We start from the raw sequence: 18,093 nt of genomic DNA, 5'->3' as shown, positions 1-18,093 counted from the left end.
AGACTAAGCTGGTTGCAGTGGAGAATGAGGGAAATGAATGAATCCAACATTTATGAGGTAGAATCAACAAGACTCATTAACTGGGCTTTCTCTGATTGTTAGATGTAGGGGTGAGGGATGGAAGAACAAAGACTACCAGGTTTTGACCTGAGCACCTGCAGGAGCAGGCTGAGGGGAAGGTAAGTTGTCTTGACATGCTAAGGTGAGGTGTGTGTAAGAAAGACAAGTGGAGACACCTGGTAGGCAGCGAGATATATAGGTCCAGGGTGAAGGAGAGAGGTCCAGGGTAGAGACAAAGATCTGAGAGGAATACTGAATTAGTGAGGGGAGAGAGAGAATGAGACACCCCATAGACAGCACAGAATAAGGCAGCAAGGTGACGCAGGACAAAGCCTTTAAGTACCTCAACTTTTTGGGTTATGAGTAGGCAAAAGAGATTGAGAAGTGACAGCTTCTTGTCCTGATTGCTAAGCTAAGTGGAAATCTGACACCTTAACCACATGGCTATATCAGAGTGTAGTAATGCACCATCTTCTGTAGCCCCTCCTGCCATGCTGAAAAATCATTCTAGTAAATTCAACATCTGGACCAATCCCAGTCAAAGGAGATGAAAAATCACCTGGCACACAGACCCAATGAAGTATCTAAGGATTCTCCACCAGAAGAAAATCTAGTGCTGACAAACCCATGTCTTTATTCTATCTTCTTACAGGAAGCAGCAAAGACATTTACATTTTCAGGTGAATTGGAATAGCTGCAGAAAATAAGAATTTATCAATATTTGAATACAATAAGGCAAATTATCTCATCCAAATTACCTTATGCCTTCAAATAATATAAAATAATGGAAAATTGTTCTTTAATGGGTAAACTATTGTTTGAGTTTCAACTCTGCAAGATGAAAAAGTTCTCATCTATTTCGCGACAATGTCAATATACTTAACGCTAGTGAACTATGTGCTTAAAAACAATTAAGACTGGCTGGGTGCAGTGGCTCAGGTCTGTAATCTCAGGGCTTTGGGAGGCCATGGCAGGAGGATCCCTGGAGCCCAGAAGTTTGAGACCAGCCTGGGCAACATAGCAAGACCCCATCTCTACAAAAAATTAAAAAATTATCCAGGCATGGTGATGCACGCCTGTATTCCTAGCTACTTAGAAGGCTGAGCCAGGAGGATTGCTTGAGTCTGGGAGTTGGAGGTTACAGTGAGCTATGATCATACCACTATACTCCAGCTTGGGTAACAGAGCAAGACCCTGTCTCTAAAAAAAAAAAAGTAAAGAAAAAAAAACTAAAAAAAAGCTTAAAAGAGTAAATTTTATGTATTTTTATAATTTAAAAATAAATAATAGTATAATTACATTATTAAAATAACACATTCTCTGCTATGGTTTGAATGTCTTCTCCAAGACTCATATTGAAATTTAATTGCTATTTTAACAGTTGAGAGGTGGAACCTTTAAGAGGTGATTAGGACATGAGGAGTTTGCCTTTGTGAGTGGATTAATGCCATTATCACAGGAGTCAGTTATCACAGGAAAAAAGGATAAGTTCAGCCCCCTTTCTCTGTCTCACAGGCTCATTTGCCTTTCCACCTTCCACCATGTGATGATGCAGCCAAAGGCCCTCATCAGATCCCGGCTCAGAACCATGAGTCAAATACACCTCTATTGTTTATAAATTACTCAGTCTCAGGTATTATGTTATAACAGCAGAAAATAAAGACAGTCTCCCAGCACCAAGTAAAGTGAAAGGCCTTGCTTAACACTGGAAGAATATGTCAAAGAATAACATATACTGTGAGTTCCATCACATGTTTAGTGAAAGTACTGTACTTCTGCTCTGAAAAACATATTGTAGTCTATATTTTAGATTTACAATAGGAGGCACCAATGTCGCTTGTTGAAGTGAGACATTTCTCCTCCTATTCCTGGAGACAATTCTGGATAGCATTTCCTCAATCTCCCAGTTTCATATGGTCAGAGGAAACTCCCTTACCTCCCTAATCATCCCGAAACTCACCTTGAAAACATTCACATGCCTCTCTGTCAACGAATCCATCCAAACTTAAGTTTTGCTGAGCAAAGCCCGCTGCCACTAACTGATGCTACCTCTTCTTTTCTCTCTGGAGCCGGGGACACCCTACCTTGTTCTAGACCTTGTCATGTTCTACCTTGTATTACAGTTCACTTTCCATACACGTGTCCTCCCCCACGATACCGTTACGTTTCTTAAGAGGGGATCTGGATCTGAGTCTGGTTCCTCTTGGCAACCACCACACAGCCTAACAGCGTGGTATGAGTCGGCGCCTCCTCAATGATAAAGAATCCTAAAAGGAGTCTCCGCTGGCTTTTCACTGCCACATCCCATTCGGGGGTGGGAGAGAAACAAAGAATGCAAGAAAGAGCGGGCGTCCACCTAACAACTCAAAAAAGTCAAATCTTCCCAACACATGAGTGTCTAAACCATTCAGAGAGCAGGGCAGTAAAAGGGAAAAGGCCGCTTCTGGGACGAGGCGTTAAGAATTAATCAGATACAGTCCTAAGCCGTTTGAGGGGCTCACACACCAGCGAAGGAGGCAGACACTGAGAGGCACGATGACAACACTCGATGGGACCTCGGATCCCCAGGGGAAGGGGATGTAGCTTCCTCCCAACCAGCCTCGGCCCAGCAGACACCACCCTCTGCCGCCCTCAGTAGTTCCCGCACTCACTCTTGTCCAGAGGCCGGGTTAGCTCGGCCCCGACGTCGCCGTCGGCGCTGGGGCCCTGAGGTTTCACAGTCAGGGGCACGAACAAGGACGTGTTTGGTATTTTGGAGCCACCGGAGGCAGAGGAGGAGGCGGTGGCAAGGACAGAAACTTGCCCCAGAACCCCGGGAAAGGGCCCAAAGTGGGGACGAAGGGCAGAGCAGATGGCTGCCCGGTGGCCAGCCTGGCGCCCCGCCGGGAGCCGAGCCCACAATAGGGCACGGGAGAAGGACATCGAGGCCGCAGGTTCTACACTGTCTGGCGCAGCCGCGGACACGGCGGCGGACAGTGACGCGCACCTCCAGCGCCTGCTGTCCAGAAAGACCCAGGCCGAGCAGGTAAGCTGCCCGGGAAAACGCCTGACCGTTAAGGAAAACGCCGTGCCGTGAGGGTGTTCTTTCAGGGAAAAAGAAGATTAGCAGGCAAAACCACTAGAGATAATTCTCGTTCTCTTTCTCTGTTTTGTTGGTGATTGGGACCACCTTTCCCTAAAGAAGGGAAAATAATCAGGCATCTTTGGGATGTCATACATGAGCGGAGGGGGCCTGCTAGTCGTGTCACGTGATGCAAACTAGTACTTTGGTAAGCAAGTGTCCAGAAGCACGTGGGTGAGCAGTGAGAGAATGGGTGGTGGAGCAGCAACTGCGAATGCTCAGGGTACGAGTATGTCTTGCGGACTCAAACACTAAATAGCATTTCCCAAAAGTTTCTTGCATTGTTAACCGTCATTTCCTGATATGATAACGTTAGCGATAATAACTTGATATGCCCCTCAGAAATGTTGCTAAGAAATATTGTTGCACTATTAAACCCCTTGTATTACGTAAGTACTTTTGCTTTAATGTGAGCAGTTTGCGTACATCATCCTAGCAGCTATGACCACATAGTTGTGACCACATGGCAAAAATACGTGCTCTGTACCCCAGCCATAGTTTCGTTCCATTGCATTTGTTGAATACCGTGTTCTCATGTGAGGCTGCAACATGTTAAATTCACAAGTTTAACCCGGGCGTGGTGGTTCACGCCTGTAATCGCAGCACTTAGGGAGGGCGAGGCCGGTGGATCATCTGAGGTCAGGAGTTCGAGACCAGCCTGGCAAACATGGTGAAATCCCCTCTCTACTAAAAATACAAGAATCAGCCGGGCGTGGTGGTGCACACCTGTAATCCCAATTACTAGGGAGGCGGAGGCAGGAGAATCGTTTGAACCTGGGTGCCAGAGGTTGCAGTGAGCCGAGATCGGGCCACTGCTCTCCAGCCTGGGCAACAGAGTGAGACTCCGTCTAAAAAAAAAAAAAATTCACAAGTTTAGCATCTCCATCCACATCTCTTTATACTTACATCATTAAGATCTTACAACTTGAAGGAACGTGTTATGTAATATACAATACTGTATGTCTAATAGGATTCCAGTAACAATTTGCCACGTGCCTTTGATTCACAAAATAATTTTTAAACATCAGGGATACAAGGAGACAGTCCTTTGCTTTCAAAGGTTCTGATCTGGTTTTGGTGGTAAGAACAGTACACGTTAAATAATGCACTTATTACTCTAATAGACTAATGGCAGTTCAAAGAAAGGAGCAATTTGAGAGTGGTAAGGAGATTTCTGCCAGACTTAAAAGTAAAACATAGAGAAGCGGTAAGTAAATTCTAGTCAGTGGAAACGATGTAAGCAGAGGCTTAACTAAGGAAAAGACATACTGAAAAAAATTTAAGTAACAGAGTTAACGCAGACCTAATTCTATGGCTTACAAATAGTGATTATATTTTTGAGAAGAGAAATCATTCATTAGGAAGTACCTAGGATAGACTAGGATAAACACAAATATGCAGGGAGGAAAATTACAACTTTATCAACAGTTCTAGCTGAAGGTGGTAGATTCCTGTGTCTGAGTTATGATGGAGACCATGTATGTGGAATGAGAGGTTTTACAAGACTCCTTAGATAATGTAGTGAGTGACTAAATATGCTAGAAAATGTTAATAAACAATGATGTCTCGTCAGATTTGGAAACTAGGAGAATGAAGGATAAACCAAACGTTTAATACGTAACTGAGGCAAGCACTATGTTGTTCCTTTTAATCTTTTAATATGCTTGACAACAATTTAGAGGTATTATTGTCACCAGGTTAACTAACTTGCCCCAGTAAGTGGTAGAGTCAGATACAAATCTAAATCTTTTTTTTTTCTTTTTTTTGAGACAGTCTCACTCTGTTGCCCAGGCTGAAGTGCAGTGGTGCAATCATAACTCACTGCAACGTCCACCTCCCAGGCTCAAGCAATTCTCATGCCTCAGCCTCCCGAGTAGCTGGGACTACAGGCTTGCACCACAATACCTGGCTAATTTTTGTATTCTCTTTAGTTTCACCATGTTGGCCAGGCTGGTCTCAGAACTCCTGGCCTCAAGTGATCCAGCTGCCTCGGCCTCCCAAAGTGCTGGGATTACAGGTGTGAGCCACCGTGCCCAGCCAGTCTTTCTGATTTCAAAGCAAATAGGTGGGCTTTTTGGACAGGAGCAGCATATTAGGCCAGAATCAACATTTGTACGAGTCTTTTTTTTTCTTTGGAAGGGTGATCGTGAACTCCTGGGCTCAAGCAATCCTGTGTCAGCCTCCTGAGTAACTGGAACTACAGGTGCATGCCACAGCACCTGGCAGTTACTAGTCTTACAGATCTAGCCCAACCCTAGTATAGTTTTACAGAAAAAAAAAATCCTCAAAACTATTTTAACTGTAATTTTGTTTGCACCTCCTTGCAGGTAGAAAATGCAATCTGAATTTTATGATAGCACATACAGGCTTTCCCTTTCAGCCATTCATTAAGTTCTACTATAAACATTGAAATGGGAAAATTCAATATAAAATTTTTGCTTTTACAAAAAAAGATGTCATATCTATACTGGTTATGTCATATTTATAGCAGTAAGTGTAATCAGCACCTAACACATATTAGAGCCTCTATAAATGTTTTATTTTGCTTGTTGAATGGATTAATGCAGTAACTATGTAACTGGTATCCTCCTATACTTTGCCGTAGCACCATAATGATCTTTTGAAAACACAAATCTGGTAAGTTACTCCTGCTTAGAGTCCTTTGGTGATTCTGAATAAATGTTCAGATAAAGCCCATATTCCATCGTATGGCATCCAGGTTCTGTCCTAAATTGGTTGGCCCTATATGCCTCTTCCAGCTTTATTTCTACTCCCCACATCTACCATTCTATTCATGCTGGAACTATACACCAGTTATATCATCGTTTCTTACCTCTGCACCTCTGAACACACTGGGTGCTTCTCTTACATATCACAGGTCCCAGTAGAGGCTCTATCATAGAATGAAAACTATCGTAATTGTGTCTCTGGGTCAGTGGTTCTTAAACGTTAGAGTGCAACAAGATTGTTGGGCCCCATCCCTGAAGTTTCTGATTCAGTAGATCTGGAGTGGGATCTGAGAGTTTACATTTCTAAAACATTTCAGATGATGCAACTCTGCTGGTCTGAGACCACACTTTTGAGAACCACTGCTCTGGATTAAAGTTCCTTCAGGATAGGGCCAAGATAACACTTACTCCATTTTGCATTGCTATAACAGAACACCACAGACTGAGTAATTTGTAAAGAAAATGAATTTATTTCTTTTAGTTCTGGAGGCTAGGAAGTCCAAGATCAAGAGGCTGGCATCTGGTGATGGCCCTCTTGACATAACCTGGTAGAAGGCATCACATGGCCAGAGAGCAAGACCTGTGTGTCAACTCAGGTTTCTCTTTTCTTACGAAGCCACCAGTCACATCATGGGGGACCCACACTGAGAACTTTTATCTAATCCTAATTACTTCCCAAAGGCCTCACCTCCAATCAATATATGAATTTGATGATTAAGTTCCAACACAAAAAATTTAGGGGACACATTCAAACCATAGCAAGCACTAACTGATAGTCTGTAAATATGCTAAATCCATGCATGAATACGGAAATAAATAGAAGGGGAAAGGAAGTGGGAGAAGATAACCTAGGTGGCAGAAATAATACAAGTTAATTTCTTCTTCGCCTTTGCTTTTGCTGTTTTTTGTTTTTTGTTTTTTGTTTTTTTTTTTGAGACGGAGTCTTGCTCTGTCACCAGGCGGGAGTGCAGTGGCGCAATCTCGGCTCACTGCAAGCTCTGCCCCCTGGGTTCATGCCATTCTCCTGCCTCAGCCTCCCGAGTAGCTGGGACTACAGGCGCCCGCCACCACGTCCGGCTAATTTTTTTTGTATTTTTAGTAGAGACGGGGTTTCACCGTGTTAGCCAGGATGGTCTCGATCTCCTGACCTCATGATCCACCCGCCTCGGCCTCCCAAAGTGCTGGGATTACAGGCGTGAGCCACCGCGCCCGGCCTGCTTTTGCTATTAACAAAATCTGGTGTAGGTTTCACAAAAGCACATCCTGTAGATTACTCTCTCATACCTTGTCTACCAAATTTTGTAAGTTGAAGTTTCTAGTATTTTTCTGACATTAAGGTTATCATGATCTAGACGCTAAACTGTTGCTTATCCTAAGTGAACTTTTAAGATTTACTCTTGGCCGGGCACGGTGGCTCACGCCTGTAATCCCAGCACTTTGGGAGGCCAAGACAGGTGGACCACGATGTGTCCAGAGTTTGTTCCTTCCAGTGGGTTCGTGGTCTTGCTGATTTCAAGAATGAAGCTGTGGACCTTTGCAGTGAGTGTTACAGCTCTCAAAGGTGGCATGGACCCAAAGAGTGAGCAGCAGCAAGATTTATTATCGTGAAGAGCGAAAGAACAAAGCTTCCACAGCATGGAAGGGGACCCAAGCGGGTTGCTGCTGCTGGCTGGGGGCTGGGGTTGGGGGGTGGCAGCCAGCTGTTATTCCCTTATTTGTCCCCCACCCATGTCCTGCTGATTGGCCCATTTTACAGAGTGCTGATTGGTCCATTTTACAGAGCACTGATTGGTCCATTTTACAAATCTCTAGCTAGCCACAGAGAGCTGATTGGTGCATTTTACAAACCTCTAGCTAGCTAGAGTGCCAATTGGTGCGTTTTACAATCCTAGCTACAGAGTGCTGATTGGTGCATTTTACAATCCTCTTGTAAGACAGAAAAGTTCTCCAAGTCCCCACCCGACCCAGAAGTCCAGCTGGCTTCACCTCTCAGTGAGGTCAGGTGATCGAGACCATCCTGGCTAATAAAGTGAAACCCCATCTCTACCAAAAATACAAAAAATTAGCCAGGCATGGTGGCACGTGCCTGTAGTCCCACCTACTCGGGAGGCTGAGGTAGGAGAATCCTTTGAACCCAGGAGGCAGAGGTTGCAGTAAGCCGAGATTGCACCACTGCATTCCAGCCTGGGCGACAGAGCAAGACTCCATCTCAAAATTAAAAAAAAAAAAAAAAAAAAGATTTAGTGTTAGAGTCATGAAATGTTAGAGCTGGAAGGGATGGGGCACCTGTCAGACACATTTGTAGAACTTGTACAGATGGTACCCATGTGGTCCTGCTCTGTCTTGCTTTCTTTCCGGGGCATAATACCACTCCTGGAAAACCTTTGCTTTATTCTAATACTGAGCTGCATAACAGTTCTAATCCATAACTGTGTTATATTTTAGACCTGTATTTTTTTTCTAAATGAGAGCATCTTTAATTTTATAATCACTTGTTTTTGAAATCCCTTAGCTGTCTAAAAGCCTGGGCTCTCAAAAGAGCTAAAAAATCCCCTTCCCGGGAGCAACCAGGAAAGACTGACTTTTATCCTGAGACAATAAATGGGTACCACACGTGAACAGACATTGTAACAAAATTTTATCTTCCATCTATTTTCATAAGAGCTCATTTCATATCTTCTAAGTCATTTGTTTTCCCGTAAGTACTCATGCCCCACCACTTCCCCTATGTTTTTTTTTTTTTTTTCCGTAGAGATTGGGGTCCCGTTTATGTTGCCCAAGCTGGTCTCAAACTCCTGGGCTCAAGCGATCTTTCCACCCTGGCCTCTCAAAAGAGTTAGGCACCTGGCCACGTCTCTTGTTTATTTAATTTGCAGGCCCCCAAGAACTCATCCTAAGAGGGTAAAAGTTTTTCTTCCCCAGCAATATCAAAACAATGAGAAAATTCTTCATTAGTGACAGAAATAAAAATTTTAATGGTTTAGATCAGTGGTTCCCAACTCTGGGTAGATTTTTGAGACATGGTGTCTCTGTCACCCAAGCTACAGTGCAGTGGCATGATCACCTCAGTGTAATTTCAAATTCGTGTACTCAAGGTGTGTCCAGAGTTGGTTCCTTCCAGTGGGTTTGCGGTCTCGCTGACTTAACGGAGCCGTGGACCTTCGCCTTGAGTGTTACAGCTCTTAAATGTGGCACAGGCCCAGAGTGAGCAGCAGCAAGATGTATCGTGAAGAGTGAAAGAACAGAGCTTCCACAGTATGGAGGGGGACCCGAGCCGGTTGCCGCTGCTGGCTGGGGGGTGGCCAGCTTTTATTCTCTTATTTGTCCCCGCCCACGTCCTGCTGATTGGTCCATTCTACAGAACACTGGTTGGTCCATTTTACAAACTTCTAGCCAGGCTGGAGTGCATTGGTGTGATCTCGGCTCACTGCAACCTCTGCCTCCCGGGTTCAAGCAATTCTGCCTCAGCCTCCCTAGTAGCTGGGATTACAGGCATGTGCCACCACGCCCGACTAATGCATTTTTGGTAGAGATGGAGTTTCTCCACGTTGGTCAGGCTGGTCTCGAACTCCTGGAACTCAGGTGATCTGCCCGCCTCAGCCTCCCAAAGTGCTGGGATTACAGGCGTGAGCCACTGTGCCCAGCCTGATTGGTGCGTTTTCACAAGCACTGATTGGTACATTTTACAAACCTCCAGCTAGCCAGAGTGCGTTTTACAATCCTAGCTAGAGTGTTGATTGGTGCATTCTACAATCCCCTTGTAAGACAGAAAAGTTCTCCAAGTCCCCACGCAACTCAGAAGTCCAGCTGGCTTCACCTCTCAAAGGGATCTTCCTGTCTCAGCTTCCTAAATAGCTGGAAATACAGGTGCATGCCACCATGCCCAGCTCATTGTTAATTTTTTTGTAGAGATAGGGTCTCATTTTTGTTGGCCAGGCTGGTCTCGAATTCCAGGTGATCCTTCCGCCTCAGACTCCTGAAGTGGCTGAGATGACAGGTATTTTTTTGAGGTTGTTTTGTTTTTAATGCTTATGGCCCAGTCTCTGAGATTCTTATTTTATTGGTCAGAGTAGGACCCGGGCCTGGTTATTTTAAAAGCTTCTAAGGTGATTCTGATATGCAGCCAGGGTTGAGAACCAATGGATTAGACATTGTAACTCTTCATTAAAGACACAAATTTCTTTTTCAGTTTATGACTTCTAATTAGCTGGCTGACTTTTGACTGAAATCACCAAATATTAAATTTGAATTTTTTTCAAATTGGTTATGCTACAAAAAGTCTTGAGCAAAACGGATAGGCATCCTGTATATGACAGTTTTAAGCCAGCCTATTAAAAGCATTATATATCTATTTAAAATTGAAACCAGTAATATTTATAAAAATTCATTATCACAGTTACAGCTTCCTAAACTATTGAACAATCCTATCCTCGACAATAAATCTAACAATGAGAAGAGATTTGAGAACAGAGCTATTTTAATCATGCAAACAGCAAGCTCAGTTTCTGTTTCAAATTCTTTATTATACATCATGGTTGCACAATTTGAGGCTGGTTAAATACAATTGGTTTTCAAAATCTCTTTGAATATTTTCTGGCTTACTACATGCAAATGACCATGAAAATATTTGGCATTTTAAAATTCTGAAACTCTGAATAGGCACTTACATGAAGGAAAACATTACCATTCATAGATATCCACATGTAGAACAGATGCTCCAGCACATGGTGGTACATGGACCCTTTTGCCAGTAAAGTTGGTTCCTGACCATTTTATCAAAGTGCCATAGTAGTAAAACAGGTTTAAAGAAATGTAATTTGGGTTATTTAGCTTACTCATAAAGTAAGGTTAACTGACAAGACTTGCACTGAAGTGCATAAAAAATATTGGTACAAAAACCAATGAACCATAAGTGAAAGTAGTTTCCATACAGCAGGTTTCATTTTGGTTCCTACACTCCACATTTAGTGTATTTGCGATCAGACCCCATGCATATGAATGGATGACTGCAATCTTCTTTTTTAGAGACTTAAAACAAATGACTTGAATTTAGTGTTAAAAAATTAAGAGACTAGATGAAGTTTCAATATGAGTTTAACTAGCCAAAGTTCGAGTTTAATAAACATGAAATTACCCAGATCTAGATAACTACATGCTTCACAGGTCCTCCTGAGTCCCCCATCCCAAAATTTTCCCCTGAAAAGAAAATGAATGTATGAAGAAAATAATATTTGCATACACATGGCAAAAAGATTCCTTAAATTGAAATATATAAATATGTTTCAAAGTATTTATGGAAAAAATAGTTTTAACAAATCTAAAATGCCAAGCTAAGTCAACTCCACATTGCAGAAAACACACAACGGTACTACTGGAATATAGCAAAACTGTTACTTAATATGGCCAAAAAAAAGAAGGCCATAATGACCTGCCACATAATCCCTTGGGGAAAGAAATCTAATATTCATAGCACAGAAGACCTCAAAGAGGATAAAATTCTGGAAGCCATGGAATGGTACTCAGAAGTGCCTGCGGTGAAACACTCCATATGCTTTTCTCAAACACATATGTTAAAAACAAATGTAGTTCTCAAAAATATTGAGATGCCATGTTTTAAATCTCTGCAGGACACAAGAGGCCACTCAGGTTTTCTAATTTTATTTGAACACAAAATATTTAATTTTTTGCATGTAGAGAATAAGAGGTAATCATTAGCCTGAAAAGAGAGGATTTATAATCAACATTATGCAGAAAGAAAGCAAAATTACAAATACCAGCCTACTCACATGAAAATTTTTCATGTTTACGCTGATATATATCTGAGTGCTTATCATCAAAGTAGGAAGTTAAAAAAAAAAAGGCAGCTTAACAAAGTTCCAGTGTTTCAAAGAAAGCACTTTTAAAAATGTATATACATGAACGAACATTTCATTATATCATAAAATAAATGCTGCGCTGTAAGATAAAGGAAGACTAACATATATGGAGTTTTGGCCTTTTTCCGCCCCCTCCAGCTGCAACCATCTTTAACCTGCTGAACTTAATCTCAAGGGTTACAGGAGTTTTTTGCTTTTCTTTTTTTCTCCTGTTCAGTTCACATTTCAGGCTGTTCGGCAGATGCCTGTGATTCTGGAGATTCAAATCGCTGGTGAAAGTTTGTTCTCTGTTTCCTCAGTTTTTCAGGAGCTTTTCTCCATAAAATTATCTCCTAGTAAACAAATGCAAGATATTAACAAATTAATGTTTGATATGATGCCTTATCTCTATTGATTGCCACTTCAATTTTAACCATAATAAAATTAAATTCTTCCCTACAAAAGCCCTCCTCTTTTCCAACTTCTTTTCCACTTTCTTCCAGCTCTAATCTTGACTGCCCCTTCTACCTCTAGTGCTCCTATCACCAGCACCCATGCATTCCACCACCACCAATCCAATCTGTCAAGAAGTCCTATTGTTACTTTAAAGAATTCCCCAAATCCATCCTTTAATTGTTCATTGCCCTCATCCAAATTCAAGTTCTTGTCACTTAGATATTAAAACAGCTTCCTCAGAGGCAAGAGAGGCAGAGCCCTTTCTATCTAATCCTTTATTATCACTAGCAGGTTAATCCTCCAGCACATTGCTTGGATTGCTCTTTAGTAGTTCTCAGTGCCTCCAGGATAAATCTCCAAACAGGTATTCATGCCCCTCTATAACCTTTATCCAATTTACCAACATTATTCTCTTCCCTCCCTTGACCATTTTCCCCCATCGGCCAAATGGAGTTACTCTCTGCCTCCAATGCAATCCAAATAAACTCGCCCTACATCTTCCCCAGTCTTCAAATCTCGATTTCTCTACCTAACTCTTACCCTAACCAATCCATCCTGAGAACTTCCCTCTTCTAAATTCCTAAAATTATTTGCTTCATGAAGTCATTATAGGCTTTTTTTTTTCCCCAACATATCAGAATTTAAACATCCAAATGAGTGCACATGGGAAATAACAGACTTACCTCCAATAGTGCCATGATATGCAATTGATTTTGAAATTGTAAAAATCATGTAATTTATTTCAAAGTTATAAATCATGTATGTTTAATTATACAACATTAGGATGGCAATACTGGAATAGGTTTTGTCTCTTCTAAATTACTGTCAAGCTATTATTTAAGTATTCTGTTAGTTTATATTATTTTTCTTTTTCCCAGATATCTACAATGTGAGAACATGGAGGACAGATCATGTTTATAAAAGGTAGTTTTTGTATTTTTCACAGTACTTAGGACAGGGTAATTTCTAACTTAGCTTTGAACACTCAACTGACATTTAACTACATGTTTATTAATCTGATTCAGAATACAAAAGACCATTCTAATTACTATCTTCATTCAAAATTCACCAAAAGCTTTTAATTGATTTTCAAATGAGAACAAGTTTGTAATGAACACTTTATATTAAACAAAGAATTAGAGGCGGTTGGGCGCGGTGGCTCATTCCTGTAATCCCAGCATTTTGGGAGGCTGAGGCAGGCGGATCACCTGAGGTCAGGAGTTCGAGACCAGCCTGGTCAACATGGTGAAACCCAGTCTCTACTAAAAATAGAAAAATTAGCCGGGTGTGGTGGTGCATACCTATAATCCCAGCTACTCGGGAGGCTGAGGCGGAAGAACTGCTTGAACCCGGGAGGTGAAGGTTGCAGTGAGCTGAGATCGCACCACTGCACTCCAGCCTGGGCAACAGAGCGAGACTCTGTCTCAAAAAAAAAACTTAAAAAAAAAGGATTAGAGGCTGGGCATGGTGGCTCACGCCTGTAATCCCAGCACTTTGGGAGGCCAAGGCAGGCAGATCACTTTAGGCCAGGAGTTTGAAACCAGCCTGGCCAACATGGCAAAACCCTGTCTCTACAAAAAAGAAAATACAAAAATTAACCTGTAGCGAGACTCTGTCTCAAATAAAAAAATTATTAGAATTCAGTCATCTCATGGACATTATGACAGAATTGTTTAAAAGGGATAAATCAGCAGGGCACAGTGGTACGTGCCTGTACCTCCCAGCTACTCAAGAGGCTGTGACTGGAGGATTGCTTGGAAGATCCCCATCTTAAAAAATAAAAATAGTAATAATAATAATAATAATAATGTATATTTGTTAAGAGAAAGATATTCAAGACACTACTGAGTAAAAATGCAAATTAAAGAATACAGCTGGGCACGGTGGCTCATGCCTATAATTCCAGCACTTTGGGAGGCCAAGGCAGGAGGATTGCTTAAGCCCAAGAGTTCAAGACCAGCCCGGGCAACACAGTGAGACTCTGTCTCTACAAAAAATTAAAAACAGTAAGAAAAAAAAAAAAGCAATATCCATAATATGATGTAAACACACATACACACATTAGTTGCAATGGTGGTGGAAATTCTGCTGACCTTTACTTCATTCTTTGTTCTTTATTGCCTTATTTTTTTCTAAATAAGCAGCAGGTATTGTTTTTATTAAAAAACAAAAACAAAAGAACTTGTAAGAGAAAACTAAAAGCCCTGAAAAATTATAGCTCATTCTGGAGTACTGCAGAATGATTGGGGAGGGATCTATCATAGGATTCTATTCTCCTCTACTTCTTTATCTATCATACCCACAGTGTTTTTATTTATTTAGAAACTCCCACTCGCTCAGTACAGTGAAGCTTAGAAGAGTGCTTTCGAGGTATTTTTAGATCTGCCGCAGAACATAATACCAGCCCAAGTGGCACCATACCTGCTGTTTGAAGTACCTCCGGTCTTCCTCATCAACAAGCACTAAATTCAAAAAGTACCTTACTGAAAATTTTTTGTTCACATCTCTCATTGTTGGAGTTGGGTCATATCCTGCTAAAAATAGCCTTATTGGAATTGATTCACCTGAAAGAAAAGGAATTTCTACTTAATTCTAAAGATGATTAAATATAGTCACATAACAGGTAGGACTAAGCACTATAGAGTTGACACTAATGCTTCACATCCTCATGAGATGCAAAATAACAAAGACCAGGGTTCATCCTCAGTAGTACTGATATTTTGGGCTGAATAATTCTTTGTTGTGGGGAGGGTCCTATCCTTTGTAGGATGTTTAGCAGCAACCCTGGCCTCTACCCACTAGATACCAGTAGTACTCTCCAAATGTAACAGCCAAAAATATCTCCAGACAACACCAAACATTCATTGTGAGGTGAAGTTGCCCCTAGACGAGAACTACTGTTCTAGAGTCAGAATACCTGGCTTCAGATCTCAACCACTTACTGGTTGTGTGACCTTGGAAAAATCACTTACTCATTGTTTAAGTTCTTCATCTGTGAAATGGGGAATAACAATAGTATTCACAAGGAATGTGTAAGGACTATATGGGTTAATATACCTAAAAAACTCAAACAGTGCCAACAGATAAGTGCTCTATAAGTTGTTTTGTTATCTTCTTTCATGAAGTTTACCATAATTTCTAATCATGTGTATAAATTATTGAATACTTGTTACTCATATATTCAAAGCTAAAAACGGACAGAATGATGACATTCTTTTATTACCAAAAAGACTGTTATTCAGATTCTCATTGCTTCTATTTTCCTAAGGGTAATTCTTTGCATATTCTTTTTTTTTTTTTTTTTTTTTTTGAGATGGAGTCTTGGTCTGTCGCCCAGGCCGGAGTGCAATGGTGCGATCTCGGGTCAGTGCAACCTCCACCTCCTGGGTTCATCCAATTCTCCTGCCTCAGCCTCCCGAGTAGCTGGGATTACAGGCACCTGCCACCATGCCCTGCAAATTTTTTTTGTATTTTTAGTAGAGACTGGGTTTCACCATGTTGGCCAGGCTGACCAGTCTCGAACTCCTGACCTCAGGTGATCCACCCACCTTGGCCTCCCAAAGTGCTGGGATTACAGGCGTGAGCCACCGCGCCTGGCTTTTTTTTTTCTTTTTCTTTTTCTTTTTTTTGAGGCAGGATCTCCCTCTGTCATTCAGGCTGGAATGCAGTAGTGCCATCTTGGCTCAATGCAACCTTGCCTCCTGGGCTCAAGTGAGCTTCCCACCTCCCAGGTAGCTGGGATCATAGGTGCATGCCACCATGCCTGGCTAATTTTTGTATTTTTTATAGAAATGGGGGTTTTGCCATGTTGCCCAGACTGGTCTCAAACTCCTGGGCTCAAGCAATCCACCCACTTTGGCCTCCCAAAATGGTGGGATTACAGGCGTGAGCCACCACGCCCGGCCCCTGAATTTTTTTTTTTTTTTGAGACGGAGTTTCACTCTGTCTCCCAGGCTGGAGTGCAGTGGCATGATCTCAGCTCACTGCAACCTCCGCCTCCCAGGTTCAAGCGATTCTCCTGCCTCAGCTTCCCAAGTAGCTGGGATGACAGACGTGCACCACCATACCCAGCTAATTTTTATATTTTCAGTAGAGACGGGGTTTCACCATATTGGCCAGGCTGGTCTTGAACTCCTGACCTCAAGTGATCTGCCCACCTCAGCCTCCCAAAATGTTGGGATTACAGGCATGAGCCACCACACCCGGCCTGAATATTTTTTACATAATAATTTTCTCATGCACACCAATTTGCTGAAAGATATAAAACTCATAATTTTACATAAAAACTGGTGGCTGCTGGAATTTTACAAAGTAATGTTGCATAACACAAGAGTACACATACATGCATCATAAGGGACACAACCACCTAGCTCAAAGAGTTTTAGAGCACCTAAGATTACATTGCCTCATCTACACTTGGCACTTAATAAATGGTACTGGCTTTGTGATGTAAGCACAAATAGTGAAGAAAACCCAGACATAAATTTTAAAATGATAAATACTGGCTTCATTGTCTCAGATACTGAAGATTAATCTAGTAATGGAACTGCTTATTTTCTTGAGAGCTATAATGACTCCAAAAACCTACAGGAATTAATGCTCAGCCATACTCCATTTTGTGGTCAGGAGAAAAAACATTTACAAAGACGAACTATTGTATAATAGAAGACAATGAAAATATTACAAATTCAAAACTAGAGAATAGATACATATAACTGTCTCTAGTAAATCCTAAATTGAAACTGAAAAATTAAACCTTATTTCAGACTAGGAAATATAATTACAGTCTTCTTTGCAGCTGTACAAAGATGACCTTAAAAGCTATCATTGTAAGAATGGTTTAAGAATTCAAAGATACTTTCACACTAAATAAATACAAACAAAACTGCCATGAACACTGATGTTTGCACTATACAAAAGAAGTAACTGAAAAGTGTGTTACCTTTTACTGGTGCACCATCCATTATTTCATATTTGGCGATTGTTTCTGTTTCTGTTGTGGTACTGGGTCCTAGTGCAATAATGTAAATAACATTAATTTAAATATTCCAGAATATAATTACTAGCCTTATGCCTTCTTATTTTTCCACTACATTATTTTTTTTTAGAGACGGTGTCTCGCTCCATCACCCAAGCTAGAGTGCAGTGGTCCAATCATGGCTTGCCGCAGCCTCAACCTCCTGGGCTTAAGCAATCCTTCTGCCTCAGCCTCCCAAGTAGCTGAGATTACACGTGTGCACCACCATGCCTGTTTTTTTATTTTCAATTTTTGTAGAGATGGGTTCTCAATATATTGCCCAGGCTGGTCTCAAACTCCTGAACTCAAGCAATCTTCCCACCTAAGCCTCCAGAGTAGTTGGGACTACAGGCGTGCACTATCATGCCTGGCTAAGTTTTGTATTTTTTGGGATAGAGATGGGGTTTCACCATGATGCCCAGGCTGGTCTTGAATTCCTTGGGTTCAAGTGATCTGCCCGCTTCAGCCTCCCAAAGTAGTGGGATTACAGGTGAGCGACCGCACCTGGCCACATTTTAAACAACAAAGGAGAATTTGAAGTTGTTTGAAACAACAAAGGAGAATTTGAAGTGATTTTAAAATCACTTAAATTTACTAGCAAGTAGAAACATGGAGATTAAGAAATCACATATGGGGGTACATGTTCTCAGGACCTCTTGCCTTGAGATCATGCCTTGGGTGAGAATTTTATTTAAAAATAAAATAATAATAATAAAAGAAATCACAGATGTTTTAAATTATGAATACTGACTATAAATTCTTATAAAGTGTTGCCTAGAATTACTTTCAGCAAAAAACCCGACGATGAGGCCAGGCACAGTGGCTCACGCCTGTAATCCCAGCACTTTGAGAGGC

The 18,093-nt window shown here is 41.5% G+C and overlaps 2 protein-coding genes across 14 annotated transcripts in view, besides 1 other annotated feature; both read right to left on the bottom strand.

Moving 5' to 3' along the window:
* Positions 1-3,040, bottom strand: part of SUPV3L1 (Suv3 like RNA helicase) — a 28,860-nt gene extending 25,820 nt beyond the window's left edge. For 6 of the 9 annotated variants that reach the window (NR_136626.2, NM_001323584.2, NM_001323588.2 and 3 more), the window contains exon 1: positions 2,712-3,040. Coding sequence is in view for 1 of the 9 variants with exons in the window: in NM_003171.5 (NP_003162.2) it covers positions 2,712-2,982 (271 nt within the window). In the remaining 8 variants the exon portion in view is untranslated. Of the gene's footprint in view, positions 1-619; positions 755-2,711 lie in introns of all 9 variants that reach the window. The other 3 variants (NR_136627.2, NM_001323585.2, NM_001301683.2) reach the window with 1 other exon arrangement.
* Positions 2,956-3,325: an enhancer, noted in NCBI's record as "active region_3486". NCBI's record gives its function as "activates an Ori minimal core promoter by ATAC-STARR-seq in GM12878 lymphoblastoid cells {active_cell/tissue: GM12878}" and the evidence as "EXISTENCE:reporter gene assay evidence [ECO:0000049][PMID:35858748]".
* The window catches only part of VPS26A (VPS26 retromer complex component A), a 50,235-nt gene continuing 41,003 nt past the window's right edge, over positions 8,862-18,093 (bottom strand). For 4 of the 5 annotated variants that reach the window (NM_001318944.2, NM_001318945.2, NM_004896.5 and 1 more), the window contains 3 exons: positions 17,164-17,232; positions 14,643-14,785; positions 8,862-12,118 (listed from right to left, as the gene is read on the bottom strand). In NM_001318944.2, coding sequence (NP_001305873.1) covers positions 12,005-12,118; positions 14,643-14,785; positions 17,164-17,232 — 326 coding nt within the window. In that variant the 3' untranslated portion in view covers positions 8,862-12,004. The remainder of the gene's footprint in view (positions 12,119-14,642; positions 14,786-17,163; positions 17,233-18,093) is intronic. The other variant, NM_001035260.3, reaches the window with a different exon arrangement.

The sequence above is a fragment of the Homo sapiens genome, chromosome 10, assembly GCF_000001405.40.
Source record: "Homo sapiens chromosome 10, GRCh38.p14 Primary Assembly".
NCBI lineage: Eukaryota > Metazoa > Chordata > Mammalia > Primates > Hominidae > Homo > Homo sapiens.
Note: the sequence above shows the minus strand (reverse complement) of the source record. Positions and strands in the feature narration are given on the sequence as shown.